General features: G+C 54.2%; 2 protein-coding genes across 2 annotated transcripts in view, besides 6 other annotated features; both read right to left on the reverse strand.

Annotated features, from left to right (window-relative positions):
* Positions 204-333: an enhancer, noted in NCBI's record as "active region_4348". NCBI's record gives its function as "activates an Ori minimal core promoter by ATAC-STARR-seq in GM12878 lymphoblastoid cells {active_cell/tissue: GM12878}" and the evidence as "EXISTENCE:reporter gene assay evidence [ECO:0000049][PMID:35858748]".
* Positions 384-433: an enhancer, noted in NCBI's record as "active region_4349". NCBI's record gives its function as "activates an Ori minimal core promoter by ATAC-STARR-seq in GM12878 lymphoblastoid cells {active_cell/tissue: GM12878}" and the evidence as "EXISTENCE:reporter gene assay evidence [ECO:0000049][PMID:35858748]".
* On the reverse strand, positions 509-7,163 carry TPP1 (tripeptidyl peptidase 1). The gene is made up of 13 exons (NM_000391.4): positions 7,125-7,163; positions 6,937-7,008; positions 6,517-6,656; positions 5,367-5,517; positions 5,042-5,169; positions 4,716-4,894; positions 4,402-4,600; positions 4,056-4,244; positions 3,746-3,815; positions 3,183-3,303; positions 2,912-3,070; positions 2,607-2,732; positions 509-2,427 (listed from the first exon to the last, which is right to left on the reverse strand). Exons 1-13 carry the CDS (start codon positions 7,139-7,141, stop codon positions 2,287-2,289), a joined length of 1,692 nt encoding a protein of 563 aa, NP_000382.3. The 5' UTR covers positions 7,142-7,163; the 3' UTR covers positions 509-2,286.
* Positions 6,884-6,933: a silencer, noted in NCBI's record as "silent region_3107". NCBI's record gives its function as "represses an Ori minimal core promoter by ATAC-STARR-seq in GM12878 lymphoblastoid cells {active_cell/tissue: GM12878}" and the evidence as "EXISTENCE:reporter gene assay evidence [ECO:0000049][PMID:35858748]".
* Positions 7,484-7,533: an enhancer, noted in NCBI's record as "active region_4350". NCBI's record gives its function as "activates an Ori minimal core promoter by ATAC-STARR-seq in GM12878 lymphoblastoid cells {active_cell/tissue: GM12878}" and the evidence as "EXISTENCE:reporter gene assay evidence [ECO:0000049][PMID:35858748]".
* DCHS1 (dachsous cadherin-related 1) overlaps positions 9,071-22,315 on the reverse strand; it is a 34,480-nt gene continuing 21,235 nt past the window's right edge. The window contains exons 3-21 of the mRNA NM_003737.4: positions 21,859-22,047; positions 21,530-21,761; positions 21,153-21,389; positions 19,772-20,797; positions 19,357-19,550; positions 19,052-19,148; positions 18,794-18,951; positions 17,740-18,604; positions 17,413-17,652; positions 17,193-17,318; positions 16,362-16,571; positions 14,530-15,408; positions 14,293-14,406; positions 13,910-14,121; positions 13,661-13,815; positions 13,338-13,468; positions 12,939-13,222; positions 12,471-12,609; positions 9,071-12,131 (exon numbers count right to left, since the gene is read on the reverse strand). Coding sequence (NP_003728.1) covers positions 9,520-12,131; positions 12,471-12,609; positions 12,939-13,222; positions 13,338-13,468; positions 13,661-13,815; positions 13,910-14,121; positions 14,293-14,406; positions 14,530-15,408; positions 16,362-16,571; positions 17,193-17,318; positions 17,413-17,652; positions 17,740-18,604; positions 18,794-18,951; positions 19,052-19,148; positions 19,357-19,550; positions 19,772-20,797; positions 21,153-21,389; positions 21,530-21,761; positions 21,859-22,047 — 8,100 coding nt within the window. The 3' untranslated portion in view covers positions 9,071-9,519. The remainder of the gene's footprint in view (positions 12,132-12,470; positions 12,610-12,938; positions 13,223-13,337; positions 13,469-13,660; positions 13,816-13,909; positions 14,122-14,292; positions 14,407-14,529; positions 15,409-16,361; positions 16,572-17,192; positions 17,319-17,412; positions 17,653-17,739; positions 18,605-18,793; positions 18,952-19,051; positions 19,149-19,356; positions 19,551-19,771; positions 20,798-21,152; positions 21,390-21,529; positions 21,762-21,858; positions 22,048-22,315) is intronic.
* Positions 10,214-10,283: an enhancer, noted in NCBI's record as "active region_4351". NCBI's record gives its function as "activates an Ori minimal core promoter by ATAC-STARR-seq in GM12878 lymphoblastoid cells {active_cell/tissue: GM12878}" and the evidence as "EXISTENCE:reporter gene assay evidence [ECO:0000049][PMID:35858748]".
* Positions 15,572-15,661: an enhancer, noted in NCBI's record as "active region_4352". NCBI's record gives its function as "activates an Ori minimal core promoter by ATAC-STARR-seq in GM12878 lymphoblastoid cells {active_cell/tissue: GM12878}" and the evidence as "EXISTENCE:reporter gene assay evidence [ECO:0000049][PMID:35858748]".

Consider the following 22,315-nt stretch of genomic DNA (forward strand, 5'->3'; position numbering starts at 1 on the left):
CGTCACGCGCCCACGACTCGCCCCGCCTGTCTCTGTTAGTGCTCTCCAGCCCGCTCCCCGCCTCCTCCCATAGTGGATCTGCGGGTTAGAGGAAATAGGCTGCAGGGCGGAGACCGAGCCTTGGCGAACTGCGCTGCCGTAGCCATTCCGCCCTAGCCTCTGCCGTGCTCCGCGGCGATTCCGTCCAGACCGGAACCAGCGTGCGTCTGGCTCTCCTCCGCCGCTCTGGGACACCTCATTCTGTCTGACGCTCAAGACCTGGCTTCGACGTTTATGGCCCTATGTCCCTCGACTACGGGTTGCCTGCCTGTCTGCATCGTTTCAAGTTCCCTTATTCAGCCTTTTAAGGATTCATAGTGGATTTGGAAAGCCCCCTCTCTTCTCCGCCAGCTGCCCCGAGAGGTGGGGGCAGCAGTGGGGCGGCACACAGTGCTGCTGTAGGAGGAGGAGGAGTTTCAGCCTGAGTCAACAACATATGCAAAAATCACAACGAATGAGAGGCGTGAGGTTTTCGGTGTAGCAGACATTTAATTCTTATTTGCCAACTCCTGAGCTAGGACCTGGGAACACAAAGTTAAATAGGACACGATTCTAGTCCTCTAGGCACCAACGGTCTTGGAAAGGAAGGCAGACAAGTAAACTGGCCATTTCAATACTACGTGGTCGTTACAATGCTAGAGGTAGGCACAGGGGGCGCAGTGCAAGGGAGGAAGGGCGTTAACATCTGCCACCTACTTCCAGGTGCCAAGCACTGTTATCAACATTATTCCACTTTATTCCCTGGTGATTATGAAAGGCAGGTATTGATATTCACACTTAACAGACGAGGAAACAGCCTCAGGGAGATAAGCTTACTTGACCCAGTCTCTCTCCTAGTCCATATCAGAACCAAGATTCAAACAGGTTTTGTTTAGAAAATCTAGGATTTTTCAGCCATACCAAAATAAAGTAGCCTCAGGGAATCAAAACATTCACGAAAGAAGGTGACTTCTGAACTGAGTCTTGCAAGAATTCTGGAAATTAACCTGGCAGTTGTATCAGGGGTGGTAAGGGGACGGAACAGCTTGAGCAAGAGTGAGAGTTCCTTGGGGTTTGGGGAGGGAGGAGGAAAAATGATTTTTTACTTAAGAACAAATAGCAAGGAAGGTTTGTGAGCTATGATTGGGGGCTGGAGGGGAAAGCCTGAATTCTATCCAGTAATCCTTGAAGGGTTTTCATCCAAGTGGCCTGATGGGATTTGCATTTTACTCTGGAAGATGACTTGGGGATTGGCAGGAAGTAAGGACACTTTTTTTCAAGAGAATATAGCCCTAAACTAAGGTAGTAGCAGTGGGGATATAAGTGGATAAGTTCTAGATATACTTGGGAAATATAATTGGAAGGACTTGTGGACTGATAAAGATATATTTAAGATGTGCAGTCAGTAGGACTTGTTGATTGAGGACTTGTTGATTGAAGGTGGGGTGAAAAGATGACACAGGTTTCTGGCTTGGTTGGAAAAAGCATAGCATCATTTACCAAGAAGAAACGAGATGGAATTGTTTGGGGTTGGGAAGGTGGACGATGAAATGTTGAGTATCACGCATCTTACATTTGAGGTATCAATCATTATTGGATAGAAAGTCTTATTTAGTGAGATGGTAATGGTTGTAGATGTCAGTGATTTGTTCCAGGGGACAATGAGTAAACTGAGAAGAGCAAAAATCTACAAATGGAGCAATGAAGGTCAGCATTCCATGAAGAAGCAGAAATTGATGAGAGAGGAAGACAAGAGTAGTCAGAGAAGTTAAGACCTGGAAGCTAAGTAAGGAGAGGGAGTGGGCAACTATGATGGAAAGGCCATAAAGCAAAGATTGAGAAGTATGCACTGGAGGCCATTGTTTCTGGATGTCAGGGTAGGAAAGAGTAAACGGTGACAGTAGAGGTCTCCTTGCAGTGAATTGGGGAATGAATATCAAGTGAAATAGTGCACAGAGTCTGTATACAACCCTTTGGAAAAGCCTGATTGAAAAGAGAAAGATGAGATGCGGAGGGAGAGGCATTCAAAAAATGCTAGTTACAGCATCTTATTGAGGAATCTAAGGCAGGAGTAGGGAGACCTGAGTATGATGGAGCATGGTAGGGTTGGGAGTCAAGTCAAGCTCACAGCATTTCAGGGTTAGGGAGATAAGCTGTCTGCAGCAGTCAATAGTTGAGGGTTCAGCAGGGCTTCCAACAGGGCAGAATAAGGGACTGAACTGCCAGCTTCAGGGCAGGGGACAAGCCATCTCTCCTGATAGGAAAGGGTCAGGGGTTGAGTAGAGTCTTCAGCAAAGCTGGGAAGTTGGGTGTTCCCCAGCCTGTTACAGGATCCCAGCCAGGACCAGAGCAGAAACCCTGGCCCTCTACCTCTTCATCCAGACAGGACTCATGGCAGCCACGGGTTACCTAGGGAGGAGGCTGGCATCAGATCTGGGCCTACTAGTACCAGTACTTAAAGAGTATATCTCCTCACCCTGTACTCACATTTCAAAGGCTATTCCACACCACCCTAACTGCCCCCAAGTCCCCCTTAGCACTCCCCATAGTTGTTTGAAAACGTCCACACCCTTCCCTTCCATACTTACATCAAAGAGTCCTGCCCCATGCTGCTGGTAGAGCCTTGGGTTGAGAAAGCCAAGAGGGGGGCGGCCACTAAGGATCCTGTGCTCATTGATCAAGGATAGGATCCCCCCAAACACTGGAGTAGAGGCCTACAAGAGTGAAGGTGCAAGTAGAGGTCAGGGGTTCTGAGTGATTGGACTTTTTGGGAGTGATGCTTTAAAGTATCAGACATCTCTAAGGAGTCAGGGGTTCTAGGTGCAAGGTGTTCAAGGTGTTAGGGGGTAAGGGTAGTTCCTGAGTGAGAGTTTGGAGATGGGCTGATTCTCACCGAGGTTCCGGACACCCATGGAATGGGCACTCTGTTGCTGACCACCCAGTAGCCATCAGAAAGTGCAGCCACATCTGGGTAGGCACGGCCACTGGCATTGAAGTAACTGGATGGTGGCAGGTGGGGGCTAGAGCTCAGGAACTTCGTTACAGCTTCCTCCTGAAAGGCATTTTTGAGTGAGTATTGGCATGTGGCCTGCCCAGCAGTCAGCTGAACTGAGGATCCCCCATCCTCACTCTTACCCTGCATCCATCCACACAAACACACGTACCTGGTATGAAGGCCGTGGGAACACATTGCTGAAGCCACCACCACTGATATAGTCAACAATTTCATTTGTGATGAGGAAAGGTTCCTGGAAGGATGTGCCTCCCACTGTGGTGACATAGGGGCTGAGGGGAGAAGACAGCATTTGGATAGTAGGGGACCCAAGGGGACCTCCAAGATATGTGGGGAGGGGTGAGTATAGCCCAGGTCTTGCTGGAGGAACTAGACTCTGTGGGGAAGCATGTATATGGGATTGACTAAGAGATTTTGAGCCTTCAAGGCATGGCCCGAGGTGACTGTGCACACTTTTCTCTACAGAACACCCACCAAATCTTCCACTAAAATGCCTGGGAACTGACGAAAAGGAACAATGGGAGCTGTATCCCACACAAGAGATTTGGGGCCTGGGACCTGCAGGAAGAAGAGACAGGAGTACAGCAACCAGGGCAGGCAAAGCTTAAGGCTGAACCACAGGAGCACATGGTGGGGTCAAGACAAAGGTTCTACATCATGAGATCACAAGTGAAAGGTGGTGGTTATACCTGAGTGGTAGGCTAGAGTACTTACCTGGAGGCAGGGAAGGTAGGGCGGAACTGGTGTCTTCCAGAGACAGACCAACACCCGGCCCCACTGTCACCTGAGAGAGACCAAGTGTAGCATTCATATTAATTGGTTAGGGCTTAGTATGTGGGTTCGGATGTCAGAGGGGAAATTTGTTACTGTAGGAGGTCAGAGTGTAGAGGTCAGGTCAGTGGTCCCTACTGGAAGGTCTGAGTTCAGATTATGAGTCAGAGACCAGGCTCAGGGATCACTGTGGAGTCAAAGCTCCCAGGCTGCAGAGGTGTAAGCATTGTCTAAGTTTAGGGTAGGAGGTCACCTGAGGCGAAGAGCAGGGTGAGACCCCGAGCGGCAGCCTTCATGAGCTCAGTGTTGACCCGCTGGATGTAGGCGCTGCTGAGGGAGTCCTCATCATCTCCATAGCTCACAGTATGCACATGTGGCAGGGCTGACTCATTACTGAGCAGCATGAGCCACTGCAGGAAGGGCTCCTGTCCCTCATGCCGGCCTGGATTTTTTTTTTTTTTTTTTTTGAGGGATGGGCACAAAGATAGTCACTGGGGGTTGTCAGGATCTCTCTCCAGCTTATAGCATTCCCTTGAGGGAGCAGGGATCAACACCCATCTCCCACCCCCTTCCCCACTGTCCAGTCCTCTTGGTAGTACCAGGGCTACTGTAGACCCAGGTGGAGATGTTGGCACCAGCACTCATCAGGTACTGCACATCTAGACTGGCCTCAATCCCGGCCCGGCCCCGGCCCTGTTGTCCAACCACACGGGCTACTGATGCCTGATGTGCAAAGTTGCCACCGAAGAGGCGCATGAACTGAGCCAGGTCTGAGTCATGGAAATACTGCTCCAGGAACTATGGAGGGAGTCAGAGCAGAGATCGTGGGTCCGAGGGTGAGTCCCAGGGTGGTAAGGAATTGAGGACACTGTGGGGAGGCTATGAGGACCCTGGGGCTCTTTGCTTGGCTCACCTGGGCACAGGCTTGGCTGTTATTGCTGGTGCCAGAGCCCACGTCTTGTGAGGTCAAGTTGTATCGCTTACGGATCACAGAGGGGGTTACCCCCAGATGCAGGCCTACAGTCCCTGTCACCTGCGGCTCAGGACGTTGCCTCAGGGATGATGTTGGGGGAAAACGGTGCAGTCCCCCCACTGTAGGGAGAAGTCAGGCTTGAGGAGATCTTATAGACTGTAATGCCCACCTTACAACTCACCCCACCCCCAGTCCCCAATGGCATCTAAACTTCCTCAGCCCCTGGATCTGTGTGCCCCAACCCCCATTCACCCCATAGGTGTTACCAAAGTCCACATGGGGGGCCAAGGCCTGTGGAAGCTGGTAGGGATGTGGGGACCTTACAACATGGGTTTCCGTAGGTCCTCCCACATAGTGATGAAACTCAGCCCCAGGGAGCAGCAGCTCTGCTTGTCTGGAGGTCAGAGAACAGAGGTCAGAAAGCTCAAAACGGAACAGAAGAAGCTACCTCTGAGCATCCCTGGGCAGTCAGTCACTGTCTCCCCATGCATTAGCTCCCACCCACAAGCCCCAGCAAGCTCTCAACTCCCTCCCATCCATCTCACTGATGGGATGACTGGTGCCCTCCATGGAGCAATCATTTCCTCTCACCGGATGCTCAGCCAGCAAGTCAGAAAGTCCTGTGTGATCACAGAATGGCACTTCTGGGCTCCGGCTGCCAAGAGCCATTTTTGCACCGTGTGGAGGGTCAGTGGGGATGGCCTCACCAGATCAGCCACATTCTCTAGGGTCAGGTATTTTCCTGCAGGGATTCAGAAGAGGCACTTGCCCTCATTCATTGCTTTCCCAAACTCCCCCTTTTGGACCTCAACTATGAGACATCAGGACTTCCCAAAGCCTGGAACAGGGTAAAGGAGGGCTATGTGTGCAGGTGTAGGGTGTACTTGGGAAGCAGAGGAAGAAAAGGCTGGAGAGACTTGAAATGCCATGGCCAATAATATGGATTTACCCTAAAGGCCAGTAAGTTGCAAATGTCGCACCACAGCATGTATTGCCATGATCATGAAAATGAATGAGGTTAATACATATAAATTTTCCATTTTAATTTTAAGCTTATGTCCGGTAAATGTTTTCAAATCTTTCGGTACCAGTTATTCAGTTTAGCTCAAATTTGCATACTTGTTGATTTTAAGCTTAACACGATGGTGAGTCACTGTTTCCTGCCATGCACACTAGTGTCACACTGCCCCGTCCCCAGCCTCTGCAGTTCACAAGCACACACTCCCCCTGCTGTGAAGGGCTTTAACCAGGAGAAGGAACCAATCCATTTTGACTGTTGGAGAGACTGTTTTGAAGCAGAGTGGGGGAGTACAGTGAGGGGTGGGGTGGAGGGAGGAGACTGCAGATCAGCTGGGGAGCTGGGCAGTAGTCCAGGAGTGGGAATAAATAACGGAGTTGGTCGTAACAAAAGACGGCAAGAAGGAGATTAATCCAAAGGCTCTTTGGGAGTTAGAACTGGCAGCCTTAGTATGTGAACAAAAGAGGAAATTAGAATGGATTTGAGGGTAGGGGAAGGAACGTAAGTTGTACTAGATGCCTGGTAGCTAGTAAGTAGCAGAGTCAGAATTTGAGTTCGTATTTGATCATAAAGCCTGTATACTGAACCACATCCCCTTTTAGGTTTCTAGCCTGAGGAACACAAGTGTCTTGGCAGGCTCTGACATGATCGCCATCCCATGCCCAACCCAGCCCTGTGTCCCTCCACCGCATCCCACATCCTGTCCTCAGTCCCAAAAGGCACCGTATTGAGGAGAGCTGGGATCCGACACAGCCTGCACCAGCTCCGAGAGTCTTTCCACATTCTGCTGTCTCAGGGCAAAGGTGAGACTCAGCTCTTCCTCAGGGTCCGCACGGCCCAGGGACACCCAGCCTGGGGGCAGCCTGTAGGGTCAGGGGTCAGGGACATGGCTTTGGTTAGGGTGGAGATGGAAAATATTGGTCATGGAAGGTTCCAGATTAGGAGCTGAGACCTTGGGGAGGATCCTAGGAGCAGATACAGATCACATGAGGTGAATGATAGGGGACTGAGGCTAGGAACATAGAGATGAAGCTATGGAGTGCGTACTAGGAGCTGGCACGGGGGTGAGAGAAGCTAGGACCAGGACAGTGGGAGGCAGAACAGGGTATGGGGAAGGGGGCAGTCTGTGCTAAGTCAACTCACGTCCTCCGCTGGTCGGGCTCCGGGCTGTAACTGCATTTGCCAGAGAGGATGAGGGCAAAGAGCCCTAGGAGGCTGTAGGGGCAGCAGGTGGGTTTCAGTGGGAGCTACGTTGTCCTTGTGTTCCCACCCTCCCAATGTGTGCTCCCTCCAACGTGATCCCTTTCTCCCGAGCCCTCTCAATTTCTCACCAGGCTTGGAGTCCCATTCTGCCCTTCCGCGGATCTGCTGTCATGTGACGGATCACATGAGCTCTATATTCCACCACCACTACCCCTCTGCCTAGTAACTAGTGACGGTACTGGCTCCTCCCTTGCATGGGTGGTCCCAAATGCTAGGCAAGGGTGGGGCCGCCACCCGGATTCTCCCCTCTGGCCAGTCAAGCACTGAGTAAGCCCAGGGCTCCCCACCTGCGTCCTGAGCCTGGTCCCCTGGGAATCACCACAAGTGAGTGGGCTGTAGAGACCCACAGACTGGGGTTCTTCCTAGCTGTATGACATCAGCAAAATAACCTCTCAGAGCCTAGGTTTCTGCATTTACAATATGGAGACTTATATAAAAGTGATCTGCCTCGAAAGATTGCAGTGAAAAAATTTTTTTCCTCTTTTATCCTTTATGTCCCCATATTATCAATTTTGTCTTCATTTTACGACTACATTTATGAACAGAGTAAAGCTTTTGCAAGACCAGGATCCTTTTATTCAAATCAGTTTCCAGTTTTAAGTAGCTTCCCAGGAGATCTACAATCAGCTGGGGTCCTGTTTATTATGGGTTCCCAAGGTTTTCAAGGAAATCAACTTTGTTCTAAGGGCCATGGAGGAATCTTGCATCTTGTTTAGTGGGCTCAGGTGGATAAAATGGAAACGGACCTTTGCTTCTTCTAATGGTAACTCAAAGCCCACAAGGAGGTCTGAGTTTACTACTTCCAACTGGGGTCATTACAAGAGGATTTTCAATGAGAGTTAAAACCCTGAGGATTCAATTCCCTTCCAGTCTTCCTTTTTTTCCCCCCAAAAATCCATATGGAAGATGGTGTCAGCAGTGTCATTTTAACTTCCAAAACCATTAATCCAATACTCATGTGAAATCCCTTGTTCTGACCTCAATACTTTTTAGATAGATCCCTCTACTCCTGCTGTTGTCCTACAGGCCACTGGCTTCCATTAACCTATAGATTATATTCCCACACTGAAGATTATGGCACTTCACCTTTCTGTCCATCCCAACTCCTGCGATCATTTGACCTAGATGATCAAAATATCTAGGTAAAAGACCCATTCAACACCCTAACCTTCCATTTCTTCATCTCATTAAACCCAGTGAGCATTACCTTCACTTCACTTAAGCAAACCAGTCCCATGGCTGCATTGGGCTTGCTATCTCTCAAAACTGCTCTACCTTTGAAATTATAATTATAGAATGCTTTCTTAGACTATAACCTTCTGTTTTTTCAAGCCATTGTTTTTCCTCACTCCTATTAATCTGACTTCTCTCTGTCCATTGATCCCTCCAGTTTCCCACTAAGCGTGGATCCTAGAGCTGTATTTACTAGCATCATGCTCAGAAACATTTCCCTTTGACCACAACTTTTTTTTTTTTTTCTAATTTCCTCAATCTCATGAACTTCTCAAACACTGGCCAATTGCCTTTCCCTCACAGCCTGGCTCCCCAAAGAACAGGCAACACCAGTGGTTCCCAAATCCCTTTGTATGACTGTGAAAATTTACACTGAGATTAAGCAAGGCAGCCACCTGCAGAGAGCCTGACATGACAAAGGCTCAACAAATTGAGCTCTTTTTACAATGTGGATTTTTAGTGGCCCCCAAGAAGAACAAATAAACCACTTGACTGCTCTTGTACCCACCCCAACTTATTTTAAGAACTTCGGGCCCAGAGCTGCTCATCCCCAAGATCCCCTCTCCCACCCAACTGATCCCTCTCAAGGCCCTGCTGGCCTCTTTGCCCATATTAGAGGGAAAAGAATAGCTGCAGAGAGATGTGATCATCAGCCTCAGGCTAGGCTCCTGAGCTCCCAGTGCCATCCCCACCCCACCACCCCTCTGTGCCTCCTGAGGTATCCACAATACTCTGCCAGGTGTCTTCCAGTCATCCCTATAGAACAAAGCTGGAGACTGGATACAAATTGCAGTTTATTAAGGCTCCAGAGTGAGAAATGGCACTTGGTTCTGGGCAGGGGCAGGGGCAGGGGTGTCAGTGGAACCCAAAGGAGCTGGGTCCAAACATGTTGGAGGGACCTCCTCCATCCCCCTACCCCCAATAAATAAAGTCTCAGCTCCATCTCAGGGTGCTGGTGCAGGGCAGGGATCCCTCACTGAGGAGAACCCAGGGCTGCTACCTCCTTCATATTTCTCCCCACATTGGACCTGGTCACAGGTCAGTGAGCAACAGGGCTTCTGTGGTCCTAGTACTCTGAGGGGGCTGGGGAGTTCAGGGTGGAGAGCTGGGGCCTGGTGGTGGCCTCCCCGTAGCCAGTCATAGTCCGAGGCTGCCCAGGGCAGGCTCAGAGTGGGGCCTGCGTTGGGGACACTGTGCGCATCCCAGGTCGGGGCCCAGCCTGGGCCACAGCTAGATGTGCAGCTCCGTGTCATCAGGTGGCTCCAGGCCAGACTCTGCGCTGAGTGCTGAGGCTGAGGGACCCTGGGCCACCCCAAATGGTGAGACAACGGGTGAGCGAGCAGCCAGAGGAGACAGAGAGGGTGAGAAGCTGGGGGACATGGCAGCTGAGGACAGGGAGCCTTCATGGCTGATGGGGGAGCGGTGAGAAGCTGGTGGGAAGATGGCCCGGGCTGCAGCTGTGTTTGCTGGCTTGGGGGGCACAGACTTGGCTCCTGGGTGGGCCACGGCAGTGATGAGGGGTGGTGGGTCGATACGGGGAGCTGGGGGACATGGCCGAGCTTCATCCTTGAGCCGAGCGATCTCTGTGAAGACACTGGCCAGTGGTTGGAACTGAGGGCACCAGCTCAGCAGGTAGTCCCAGTTATAGCTGCCACGGAGCTCCTCCTCGCCGGCCACAATGGCTGTCAGCGCACCTGCCACACATGGCTTGCCATCTGCTGGGAAGCCATAGTCCCCAGTGGGTGCAGGGCTCAGGCCACAGCCCCCCAGGAAGGCTGTGGCAGTGGCTGGGGGCCCCTCCTCTCTGTAGAGAGTGGCTCCTGCACCTGGCAGCAGCAGCCCTGCCTTTCGGCCCTTATACCAGGTGTCAGGGGCAGGTGGTTCGCAGGATGTGTCACTCAGACCATCTGCATCCTGCTGGATGCCTGAGTCAGGGCCACGGGCAGCCAGAGAGGAGGCCACACTGGCCACACGGGGGAACTCATTGATCATGCGGATCTCATCATCCTCTGCAGCCTCTGCTGATCCTCGGCCACTTGAATGTGAAGGGTCCAAGGAGCCACCACGGGGGTAGGGTCCTCCAGCTCCTGGCCCACCATAGCTGGGAAGAGTCTGGTGATAGAGGTGCTCAGAGGGTGGTGGACTAGGTGGCTCCCGGCCCAGTTTCTGCAGTGAGTCACTGGCTAGGGGTGCTGCCTGTGACATTGGGCCAGGGGCTGCCTCAGCCTTGCGGCTACGGGCCCGAACAAGTCCTAGGACCAGGGCTGCCAGTGCAAGCACCACCACAACTCCCAAGGAGGCTGCCACGGCCCCTACTAATAGCAGGTTGAGGTCAGGTGCCAGGCCCAGTGCGGTGTGGGTGATATCCACGGTCACAGGCACTGTGGCACTCCGGGAACCAGGCAGAGGCCCCCGTGCTATCACCTCCAGCCTCAGCTCCCGTGGTGCTTCCCGCCGGGTCCGGCCCCCACCCCCAGAGGTGGCTGTTCCGCTGCCTGGTGCCCGACTGTCCACCCGCAGGTACAGGGCTCCTGTAGTCTGGTTAATACCAAAATAGGGGGAAGAGGTGGCAAGGGAATACAGAACCAGGCCATCGGCACCCCCATCCTCATCTGTGGCCTGCACGTGACCCAAGCTGTGGCCACGCCGGGCACCTTCGGGCACTTGGAAGTGGAAAGCTGGTGCCAGAAATACAGGGTCATACTCATCCTCTCCAGTCACTAGCACCGACACAGTGACAGAGGCTGAGAGATTCCCAGCATCAGCAGCACCCACCAGCAGCCGGAAGCTTTCTGTGTGCTCATAGTCAAAGGGCACTCGCGCACGCAACTCCCCTGTTGAGCTGTTCAGTGCAAATGCCTCACGGCCCTCAGGTCCTGGCCCAGCCTCCAACAGGCTGTAACGGAGCCTCCCAAAAGCCCCAGCATCCCCGTCGATTGCATGCAGAGTGGTCACGAGAGTGCCTGGAGGCTGATTCTCGGCCACGCTGGTGCTGAGTAAGTTCAGTGGGAAGGCTGGGCCATGATCATTCACATCCTGGACCTCAATTGTCACTGGTGCCAAAGCAAAGTGTGCACCAGCAGGGTCAGCAGCCTGTACTACAAGCTGATGTCGAGCCTGGGTCTCACAGTCCAGGGCATGGGCCAGTCGCAAGGTGCCTGAGCTCTCATCCAGCTCAAAGAGCCCTGATGGGTCGCCTGAGCTGACAGTGAAACGCACGAGGCCATGAGGGCCAGGGTCAGCGTCAGAGGCCTCTACATGCAGCAGCTCAGCTCCAACAGGTGTGTCCTCAGGTACTGTCACACGGTAGGATGCTCGGGTAAAGACAGGTGGGTTGTCATTGACATCTAGTACAGTGACAGTGACTGGCACGACTGAGCTTTGGGGTGGCTGCCCACGGTCAGCTGCAGCCACTGTTAGATTGTACTGTGTCAGGCTTTCAAAGTCTAGAGGTTCAAGCAACACCAGGCAGCCCAGTGCCCGGGGGCCTGGTCCAGCACTCTCCCCAGCCTCAGCCAGCCTGGGTTCCAGCTGGAAGACTCGGCCCCAGTTGCCACTGATGATGCTGTAGTCCACAGCGGCATGGCTGCGGCTTCCATCAGCATCTGTAGCCTCCAGGGTGAGCAGAGTGGAGCCAGGGGGCAGGTCTTCAGTCACAGCCACACGGTAGTGTGACAATGTGAAGCTCGGGGCGTGGTCGTTCTGGTCCTGCAGCTGCACGTGCACTGTGGCTCGTGCTGCCCGGCCTGGAGCCCCGTGGTCTCGTGCTTCCAGCACCACATCCACTGCTCCTGACCCGTCATGGCCCAAGGCCACTGTTCCCACTATTGTGAACAGGGTCCCTGAGATGAGAACGGAAGGGAAAGAAATATATTCAGCAAAGGCTGTGAGTGAACAGAAGAGTGACCCTTCAGGATCTAGGAAATGGTTTTGGAAGTCAGACTCAGGGAATGGCCTATCTGCTGGGAGACAAGGGGATGGCCTCAAGGATTCACAGCTTAGGGAACAGCTTCTAGACATGCAGTCAACAAGGGGCTTATAATGAAGACAGAGGGGAGGAAATGTCCTCCCTAGGCCAGAGATCCAGGAGTTAAAGAGTTTGAGTAACAAATTCAAGGAATGAGGTCAGATTACAGCCCAACACAGTCAAAGGCAAGGGGCAGATCCTGGGAAAGACGCACCATTGTTGGGGTCAACACTGAAGCCATCGGCAGGGGAAGCCAGGTGGTAGGAAATGTGACCGTTGGCACCTGAGTCCCGATCAGTGGCAGAGACGGAGAGAATGGCACTGCCTGGGGGTGTGTGCTCAAGCAGCATTACCTGAAGTGTGAGGAAAAGTGCTTATTGCCAGGCTTCCCATTTGCCCTGCTGTCCATGCAGCCTGTTCTGGAGCTTGGTTCCTTGTGCCCTGCTTGGCGTCTATTCCAACTTGGAGCCCCTACTCCTAAGTATTCGAATGGGAAATGCCCACCTTCTCCCCTTTCTGGGTACAGGATGCAAAACCAGGATGTAGTTCACAGGACTTGGGACCTTCCCATTCCCAGATCAGCTCCAACGTCCAGCCCACCTCAGCAGCTGCTAGCTCTGATACTTCCCTCCAACAGGAACAACCCAGGCCCAGGTGTAGGTGGATCCATGGGTGTCAATACCTGGTAGAGGCTCTGTGAGAAGGCAGGTGCATTGTCATTGACATCCTCCACAAGCACTGTGAGGTTGGCACGGCCCTCATGAGGCCCATCATGTGCCAGCAGCTGCAGCTGGTAGCGGTCACACTGCTCAAAGTCCAGGGGCCCCGTGAGGGAGACACGGCCTCCATAGCGGCCAACACTGAAGGGATCCTGGGGCCCAGATGGGCTTAGCACATACCACAGCACGGGTCCTGAGTCCACATCATTCCCTGTTACCTGTGCAATCTCTGAGCCCAATAACGCATCTGGAATACATGAGACTAGTGTGTTTGGCAATGGACACAGCCCCACCTTGAGCTGCAGGGTGGAGAAAAATGTCTCTCTGCCACCCTTTATGCCACCCACTTTACCCAGCCTCACCTTCTGACACTCGGAGCTCCCAGGGTTGGGGGATGGTGGGGCGATTGTCATTGGTGTCGATGACCATCACCGTCAAGGTAGCTGAGCCCACCAGGGCTGGGCTCCCTCTGTCTGTGGCCATCAGCACCAACCTGGACACAAAGCACAATCATCGGGTGGGACATGGCAATAAGGGGGAACTCTGGGCAGGGCCAGGAGGACTCAGGACAGAGCTTAGGGCTGGGGAATTCAGGATGTGGCCAAGGGACCAGATGAGTTCAAGGCAGGGCTTGAAACTGGACAGGCCCAAGATGGGGTCTTGGGTCCACAGGGCCAGGCCTCACCGTGTTTCAGCCCAGATCTCACGGTCCAGGATGGCTGTGGTAGTGATAGTGCCTGTGGTTGGGTCTACGTGGAACAATCCACGTGCCGGCTGGGATGCAGCCAGACTGTAGGAAATCTGTCCTCCAGAGCCTTGATCCAGGTCATCCGCCTCCACCTGGTGAGGGTAGGAGGCTGCTGGGACTGGTCTGGCCACAGACAAGTCTGACTAGCCCTGCTCCCCCGCCCAATCTTTCCATCACACCCCGCACCTGCAGCAGGGGCCCCTCCAAGGGCCGGGACTCAGGAAGGAAGGCCACATAATGGGGCCGCAGGAAACGGGGAGCATTGTCGTTGGCATCTTGCAGGGTCAGGGTCAGCACAGTGAAGGCAAAGGCTCCTCCACTCTCTGCCTGCAGCACCAGTCGCAGCCGTGGACTCACCTCGAAGTCTAGCCCCTCTGCTGAGCGAACTGTGATGGCACCTGGGCGAGATAGAATGCATCAGTGATAGCCCCCTTTGCTTGCCCTGGAGCCTCCTTCTCTAAGACCCCTTACTCAAGGACAGCCCTTCACCCATCAAAGGCTCCTCTGATGCAAAGAACCTGCTTCCCCAGTAGCCTGTCCTGCACAGAGCCCCTGCTCCTATTTCTTACCTGTACTAGGCTGGATGGAGAATGTCCCTTTCTCATTCCCACTGAGAATGCTGTAGGTGATGGGTCCATTTGTGCCTCCTGCATGGACGGCCCTGGGGGAGACAATAGGAGTCCCTGCAGAAAGAACGGTATTGTTGGACTGTGAGCGCGAGACTGGGAGAGTTTGGGGGACATTTTCAAAGCACAACCCCAGCCCATTTGGGAGTCTGAATCTGGAAGAAATGGCTGGGGACCCACCTGGGGGCGCATTCTCACGAATCGTAGCCTCACTGCTAGCCCGGGGAAAGCGGGGTCCACGCTCAGCTTCCCCCTGCAGTCCAACAATGATCACACCAGTGGCAGAGCGAGCTGGACGGCCAAGATCAGTGGCCACAATGAAGAGGACACGATCTCGGGGGCCTAGAGCTACAGGAGAGCGGGCCACGCGGATTTCACCAGTGTAAGAGTCCACAGTAGTGCCAGGAGGTGGTGTGCCTGCCAGCCGGTACAGAATGGAAGCATTGGCACCAGCATCACGATCTTCAGCTCTCAGTGTGGCCAGAGCCAGGGTTGGGGTACTGAAGCTGGGGCCTGGGCGGGGCAGACGTAGGCGCAGAGGACTGGTGGGGAAGGTGGGTGCATGGTCATTGACATCGCGCACCGTGATGGTGACAGACACTGTGGTGCTTAGGGGCCCAGCAGCTGCACCATCCACTGCACTCACAGAAAAGGTGTAGCTGGGACACTGTTCTCTGTCCAAGGCTGCAGCTGTGCGCAGTTCTCCAGAGCTGGGCTCCAGCAGGAAGGCTCCTGCTGTACCGGCGCCCAGGTAGTAGGTCACATGGCCATTAGCTCCAGCATCAGGGTCATGAGCCTGTAGCTGCAGCAGCAGGGTCCCTGCAGGCACATCCTCCGGCACCTCCACCGAGTAGGCAGGCACAGGAAAGGCTGGAGCATGGTCATTGGCATCCAGCACTGTCACTGTCAAAAGCAGCGTGGCACTGAGAGCTGGCTGGCCTCCATCCCGGGCCTCTATCCTCAGCTGGAAAGCTGGCTCCACTTCTCTGTCTAGTGGCCGCATGGTGCCAAACTCTCCAGAAGCAAGGTCTAGGACAAAGGCTCCTGATGGGTCCCCATCTGCAGAGAAGGGCATGCACATATAAATATACATGTGTCGTGGGGATGGGGGTGATTTACAGACAACAGGAGAGAGTGAGCATGTGCACAAAAGCAAGTGAACCTTATGAGAGAAAGGAAGAAAAACAGAAACAGAAAGTAAAAGAAGATACTATAAAGCAGCTGGTATCATTTGTGTGTGGTCTGGGAACCCCGGGAGTCCCCCAAGTCCTTTTCATGTGCATAAGATCAAAATTATTTCATAGCACTACTAAGCCATTATATGGCCTTTTTATTCTCATCTCACAGATGTACAGTAGAATTTACAGATGCTCTATGACGTGATGATATAATGTCTTGGTTAAGGGAATGTGTGCTTATGTATTCCTGTGTGTTCTAGAATATTCTAGACAGAAAGTTTAGAGCATGAATCTGTGTGTCTTCAGAGATTCAGTTTGTTCTGGCTATCTTCAATTATACCTGCTTTAATCTCTGAAATTAACTACTTTCCAACAAATTGTTACTTGAAATCTTAGTATTTCCTTGTGCTTACACAGAAATACTGGCAAGCTGTATACTTCATTGGCTTGTTTCACAATCATATTTTAACATCATCTCAGTTTTATTATCTAATACAGTAAATACTGATATAATCCACATAAAAACTCCTTAGGGTTCTCAAAAATTAAGAGTGTTAAGGGTTTTTGAGACCAAAAATTTGAGAACGACTGCTCTACAGGGAGAGACAAATGAGAAAGAAAAGAAATAGGAAGATAGAAACAGAGACACACAGGGAGATAAAGAGCATGGAATGAGATACCTAGCTACACTGGGTATAAGCATGAAAGAAAAGGTGGACGACATCAAGAGGGAAAAGGAGACCCAGACACATGCACTGAGGCTGACAGCAGCCAAGAAGGAGCAAGAACCAGGCAAGTGGGTGCTGAATTAAGTGGGAGTGGGAAGGTTCTCACCTAGGATGCGGTACTGCAACTGCCCATTGGCTCCCACATCTGGATCAGAGGCCCGAAGCATGGTAAGGGTCTGGGGGTCCTGGCCCTCAGGCACCTCCAGAGAGAGATGGGCACTCCCAAAGGTTGGTGCATGGTCATTCTCATCCTCCACAGCCACTCGAACAGTGACATGCGTTAACTGAGGAGGTGAGCCCCTGTCCTGGGCATACACTGTGGGGAAGCAAAATCAATGAGGTCTAGTCTGCCCTCACCACATGGAGAAATCCACACCACACAGTGTTCATACATGTTCACTAGGTGCACACAAACCAGAAAATGTCCATCTCTCCATACCTCTCAGGCACACATGTGTCATGCATACATAAACATACATGTGTCCTACCTCCCATGCTTGGTGCATGCAAGATATATCTTGGACTAGTGGTGGTGTAACAGGAAAGGCACTAAATGAGGTATGAAAAGATCTGGGTTCAAGTCCCAGCCCTGCCACTTCCAAGCTGCATGAGCTTGAGCAAGTCACTTGACCTCTCCAATATTCAGTATCAAAATGCTCCTCTGTTAAATGGCTGCAGTATCTGAGGGAGGCCTGGAGGGCATAGCTGTGACATTATGCATTTTAGAATTTGTACGGTCACAGTTGTGACAGTCTAGAAGTCAGTTGACCTTGCACCCTGCCAAACTCTCGACTCCCCAAAAGGGTCCAAAAACATAACAGGAGCTTTGTGGTAATAGGCAAAAACTTCTAAAAGGTAGTACTTTGGGTATTCTATCCAGGTAACACTGGTGTTTACAACACCTCACTCAGGCTCTTGGGGTCCTGTCAACATGTACCTGTCAGGTTGATCTCCTCCTGTTCCTCTCGATCCAGGGCCCGAAGAGTCGTGAGAACACCAGTGTCAGGATCCAGAGAAAAGCTTTCGCTAGAGACGCCTCCATAAGTCACTTGCCCGTTGGCCCCTGAGGAGGGGCAGCATGGAGGGCGATCAGAGGGTAAAAATGCTGTTTCTTGCCCCAGTCCATCCCACTCATAATTCACCCCCCCAGGTCTTACCCACGTCGGGGTCGGTTGCTCGCAGGGTGAGCAGAGATGTGCCAGGAGGGTTGTTCTCACGCAAGAGGACGCTGTACTCCTGCTGCTGGAAAGTAGGCGCCTCGTCGTTGACGTCAGCGACACTGACGGTCAGGACCTGCGTGGCCGAGCGCGGCGGGGAGCCGTGGTCTGAGGCCACCACTGTCAGTACGTGCTCAGCTCGTTGTTCGCGGTCCAACGGCCGCACCACGGACAGCGCTCCTAGGTGAGCGGTAAGGCAGGTTGGTGGGGACCCCAACACTCCACATCAGCACCTTCCTCGCCCTCACTCCCAGACCTAACTCTCACCAGTGCTTGAGTGCAGCCGGAAGTGGCCGTCCCCGCCAGATGCCAGCCGATAGGACACGCGTGCAGCCTCGCCCAGATCCGGGTCCCGGGCTACCACGTGCAGGGCCGCGGGCCCAGGCGGCTGGTCCTCTGGGAGGCGCACGCGTGACGGCGAGGCGAAGACAGGCGCGTTGTCATTCTCATCCGTGACGAAGACGCGCGCTGAAACGCGCGCTGCACGACGGCGGCTGGCGTTGGCGGGCCGGTCGGTGGCTTCCACCAGCAGCAGCAGCGCGGGAGTGGTCTCTCGGTCCAGGCCGCGCGGAGCGCTGAGCGCCCCGGTGCGCGCGTCCAGGCGAAGCGCCGGCACGGGCGGCTCCTGGCGCAGCAGGCGGTAGCGCACGTCGCTATTGGGGCCGGGGCCGTCGGCGTCCGACGCGCGGAAAGTGTACAGCGCTGCGCCGGGCTCCGGGTTCTCTGGCAGCGCCAGCGCCAGCGGGTCGCGCGCAAAGGCGGGCGCATGCTCATTCTCGTCCTGCACTTGCACCTGCACTCGCAGCAGCCGCGCGCCCGCGCCTCCCGGCCCCTCAGCGCGTACCGTAAGCGCGCGCCACGGCGGGCCAGCTTCGAAGTCCAGGGGCCGCGCCAGGTACAAGCGCCCTGAGGCCGCATCCAGCGCGAAGGTGCCCTCGGGATCGGCACCGCCCACCAGTGTGTAGGTGAGTGCACCCACACCCGCGGGCTCTGGCGCTGCCACCGAGCCCAACAGAGAGCCGGGCCGCAGTCCCTCAGCTGCTGTCACCGTCAGCACGACAGGCACTGGTGCCGCTGGGTCCCGCTCTGCGAGATCTGGGGGCGGCTCGGCCAAGCGAGCTGAGGGAAGCACCTGTTGTGGACCGGGGAGGGAGAACAGAATTGTGAGGGCCCGTGTAAAAGGGGATCTGGGCTGGCTTCCCAGGTGGTAGGAAAGTGGTCAGAGTAGCCTGACTGCTAGTGGAGCCAAAGGATTCCCGTGAAGCTGGAGCTACTGAAGGGGACCTACAGCGGTAGCCAAGGGGAGGAAGGGCAGCCATACCTGCACCAGCAGCTGGAGGCTGGCACTTCGAGGAGGGCTGCCTTGGTCATGAGCACTCAGTGTCAGCACATAGTGGGGCCGCTCTGCTCGGATCAGGGGAGCTGCAGTGAGCAGCTCCCCTGAGTGAGGGTGCAGAGAGAAAAGCTCTGAGCCAGGACCTGGGGACAGGCAGAGGAAGATGAGGGCTTGGGGCCCAGAGCTGGGCAGGCCATGAGGGCATGCCATCACCCACCAATTCTCCTCTCTCCACTCCCATACCAGTTAGCGTGTACAAGATGGTCCCATTCTCCCCCTCATCTGGATCCTTCGCCTGCAGAGTCGTCACCAGTGTTCCCGGAGGCACGCGGTCTGGTACCTGTGGGAACACAACTCACCTAGTGAGTCTCTTTCCTGTTCTTCAGACAACTCAGGATAAAGCTTCCCTCACCTGTGGGCAGGCAGAACCTCTTTTCGGCTCTCACACCCAATCCAGGAGGCAGTCTCTTACCTACACCTACAGCTCTATGGGGAGATCCCCACTCCCTCTCACACTTCTCAGGACAAAGTCCTGCCACTTCACATACCTGTATAGGGAGGCCCCCACCAGCAGCTCCTGAAGCCTGCAGGAACGTGGGGCTGTTGTCGTTGAGGTCAAGCACTGCAACATGCACAGTGCCTGTGGTGCTGCGGGGTGGGCTCCCTCCATCCTGCACCTGCACCAGGAGCTGATAGCTGCTCTGCTGCTCACGGTCCAGGGTTTGGAGTGTGGTCACTTCTCCTGGGAGTGCAAGAAGGCGATCATGTACGAGATGTTTAAGGATGCAGAGCCTGAGGCCTGCACCTAAGAAGCTGGTGTTTGGGGAGTGGGGGAGGGAATGCCAGGGCTAAATCCTCATTCTCAGGGGCGAGATGGGAGCTGGGGGTTGGGGATCCTGTCTGAATGTTCACCAGGCTGGGGATAAGGCTATGCGGTCTCAGGATTTGGGTCTCTGTGCTCACCAGTCTGGGGGTGGATGCGGAAGGCCTTGCTGTCTTCAGACAGCTGTTGCAGGCTGTAGGTCAGACGTCCATTGGGTCCTGAGTCTCGGTCAGTGGCAAAGACTCGGCCCACGCTGGTCCCTGGGGGCTGGTTCTCAGCCACAGCCAGGAAGGTGGGATCCTCAGACAAGCGGGGACTGTGTTCATTCTGGTTGAGGATGCTGACCCTCACGGTGGCTGTGCCTGTCTGCTGCCCCAACTCAGCTTTGGACCCAGACACTGCCATTACCTTCAGTATGTACAATTCCTGGGCCTCACGGTCTAGTGCTGCCCGCACCCATAGCCACCCACTCTGTGGCTCCAGGCCAAAGGGGCTACTTGCTCCCTCTGCTGCAAGGTGATAGGTGATAGGGCCCCCATCTGGTGCTTGGGCCTGCACTTGCAGGACCTGAGTTCCAGCAGTGGTGCCTGAGGGCAGGTCCACACGGTAGGTAGGGCTGTTGAATCGGGGAGCCAGCCCACGGGTTCCCACATCCTGTACCACCACCCGTAGTCGAAAGTGGCTGGTGCGTGGTGGGGAGCCCCCATCCCGGGCCTCCAGCTCCAGCTCATGGGCTGGCCCTCCTGAGGGCCCCAGAGGCCTCATAAGCCGTACATGGCCTGTGGTGGGGTCCACGGTGAAGGCTCCACCACCCCCAGCAAGCAGGGTAAAGGTGACTCGACTGTTAACACCTGAGTCGGGGTCAAGAGCCCGCAGTGTATAGATGGGAGTCCCTGGGGCAGTGTTTGGTGGTAGCAATACCGTGTCTTCAGGTGCAGGAAAGGCAGGGGAGTTGTCATTCACATCATCCAGCAGCACACGCACCCGAGCTACAGCGAAAGCTGGGGGCACTCCACTGCCTGCTCGCACCTCCAGCTCCAACACTGGTCCCAGTAGCTCCCGGTCCAGAGGGCGAAGTGTTTGCAACAGTCCTGATACCGCATCTAGGGAGAAGAGTCCTCGGGGATCCCCACCTGATAGGGAAAGGGTCACAGGTGCCAAGCGACCTAGGGAGGATGAAAAAGGGATCAGGAAAGAGATGGAGGGGCACTTATTGAGTCAGGACCCAGAGTCTGATCCCGAGAAGGACTGGGCAGTGCCCACACCCATGCCTTTCAAAATATTAGGAGGAGGGGCAGGGGTTGGCAAAGAAGTTGGTTGGCACGCACTGAGGTGACATTCCTATGCCTCATGAAGCAGTGTGCCTGCACTGTGCCTAAGGAGGTGTTGGGCATTGGTACAGGAGTGTTTTATACTGGGGCTATCTGCCCTGTGATACTCTAAGGTATCTTCGGATGGTGCTGGAGGGTTATACTGGGGTATTTGGGTCTGACACCAAGTGGGTATAAAGCTAAATGATACCTGGTGGGTTGTGTGCCTGGACTATGCCCACACTGGTGCCTGGTGCCACATCCTCTGGCACAGAAAAAACATACTGTAGTTGCTCAAATATGGGTGGTGTGGGGGTTCCAGGCACAATGCTGATGTCCACTCGGGCACTGGGTTCTGCCTGTAGGCCACCTCCGTCCTCAGCCCCGATCTCCAGCTGCACCACAGAATTGGCCCGTCTGGCCAAGGGCCAGGCTACTGTCAACAGCCCTGAGAGGAAGAATAGAAGCAGAGATATATAAGGAAACATAATAGGGCTAGAAAGGTTATGGAGGAGGTGGGTAGGACATCATTTAGGCAGGTGGGGAGGGGGACCTGGGGGAAGGCCCCGGGAATGGGAGGATCCTCACCTGATTGCTCATCCAAGGTAAAAAGTGGGGGGCTGTTGCCAGCCAGGATATGGTAGGAGAGTCGCCCATGGGATCCCTGGTCAGGGTCATGGGCACGCAACCTCAGCACAGCTGTGCCTGGTGGACTCTGGGCACTTATACTGGCAGCATACTCCCGTGGATAAAACTGAGGAGGGTTGTCATTCTCGTCTGACAGAAACACCTTCACATATACCATGGACTTGAGGCCTCCCTGGTGGGACATGCAGCCATAGGTCAGGTGGGCCTCATCTGGCCCTGGTGAGTGCCCTACCCCAACATCCCAACCTGCCCTTGGTCTACTGACTTACCCCATCCACAGCTGTCACTGTGAAGTCAAAGCTTGAGGGCCCCTGGTCACGGTCCAGGGTCCGGGTTGTGCACACATCACCGCTGTGGGCATCAATGCGGAATGGGGGAGATCCGGAGGACCCAAGTCCAGCACCCAAGGAATAGGAGAGGAGGCCAAATGGGCCACTATCCGCGTCTGTGGCTGTCACCTAGGGAGAGGCTGGGGTGAGTGGTGTCCCCTCTTCTTTGCCAGAAAAGCCAGAGGTAGGTGGCCATTAGAATGAACAACTGGTGCTAAGTCTCTGGATGGCGGACACACAGAGAGGACTAGTAGGACATGGGCCCAAACCCAACCTCAGCCTGTACCTCACCATTTAGTTAGGTTCCTAAGTGCCTCTAGCCATAACATTTTTTGTCAGCTGGTCAATACATAACCTTGTTTGATGTGTGTTTCTGTTTAAAGACATCTTATGTTTA

Source organism: Homo sapiens, chromosome 11 (genome assembly GCF_000001405.40).
Source record: "Homo sapiens chromosome 11, GRCh38.p14 Primary Assembly".
In the NCBI taxonomy this organism is placed as follows: Eukaryota; Metazoa; Chordata; class Mammalia; order Primates; family Hominidae; genus Homo; species Homo sapiens.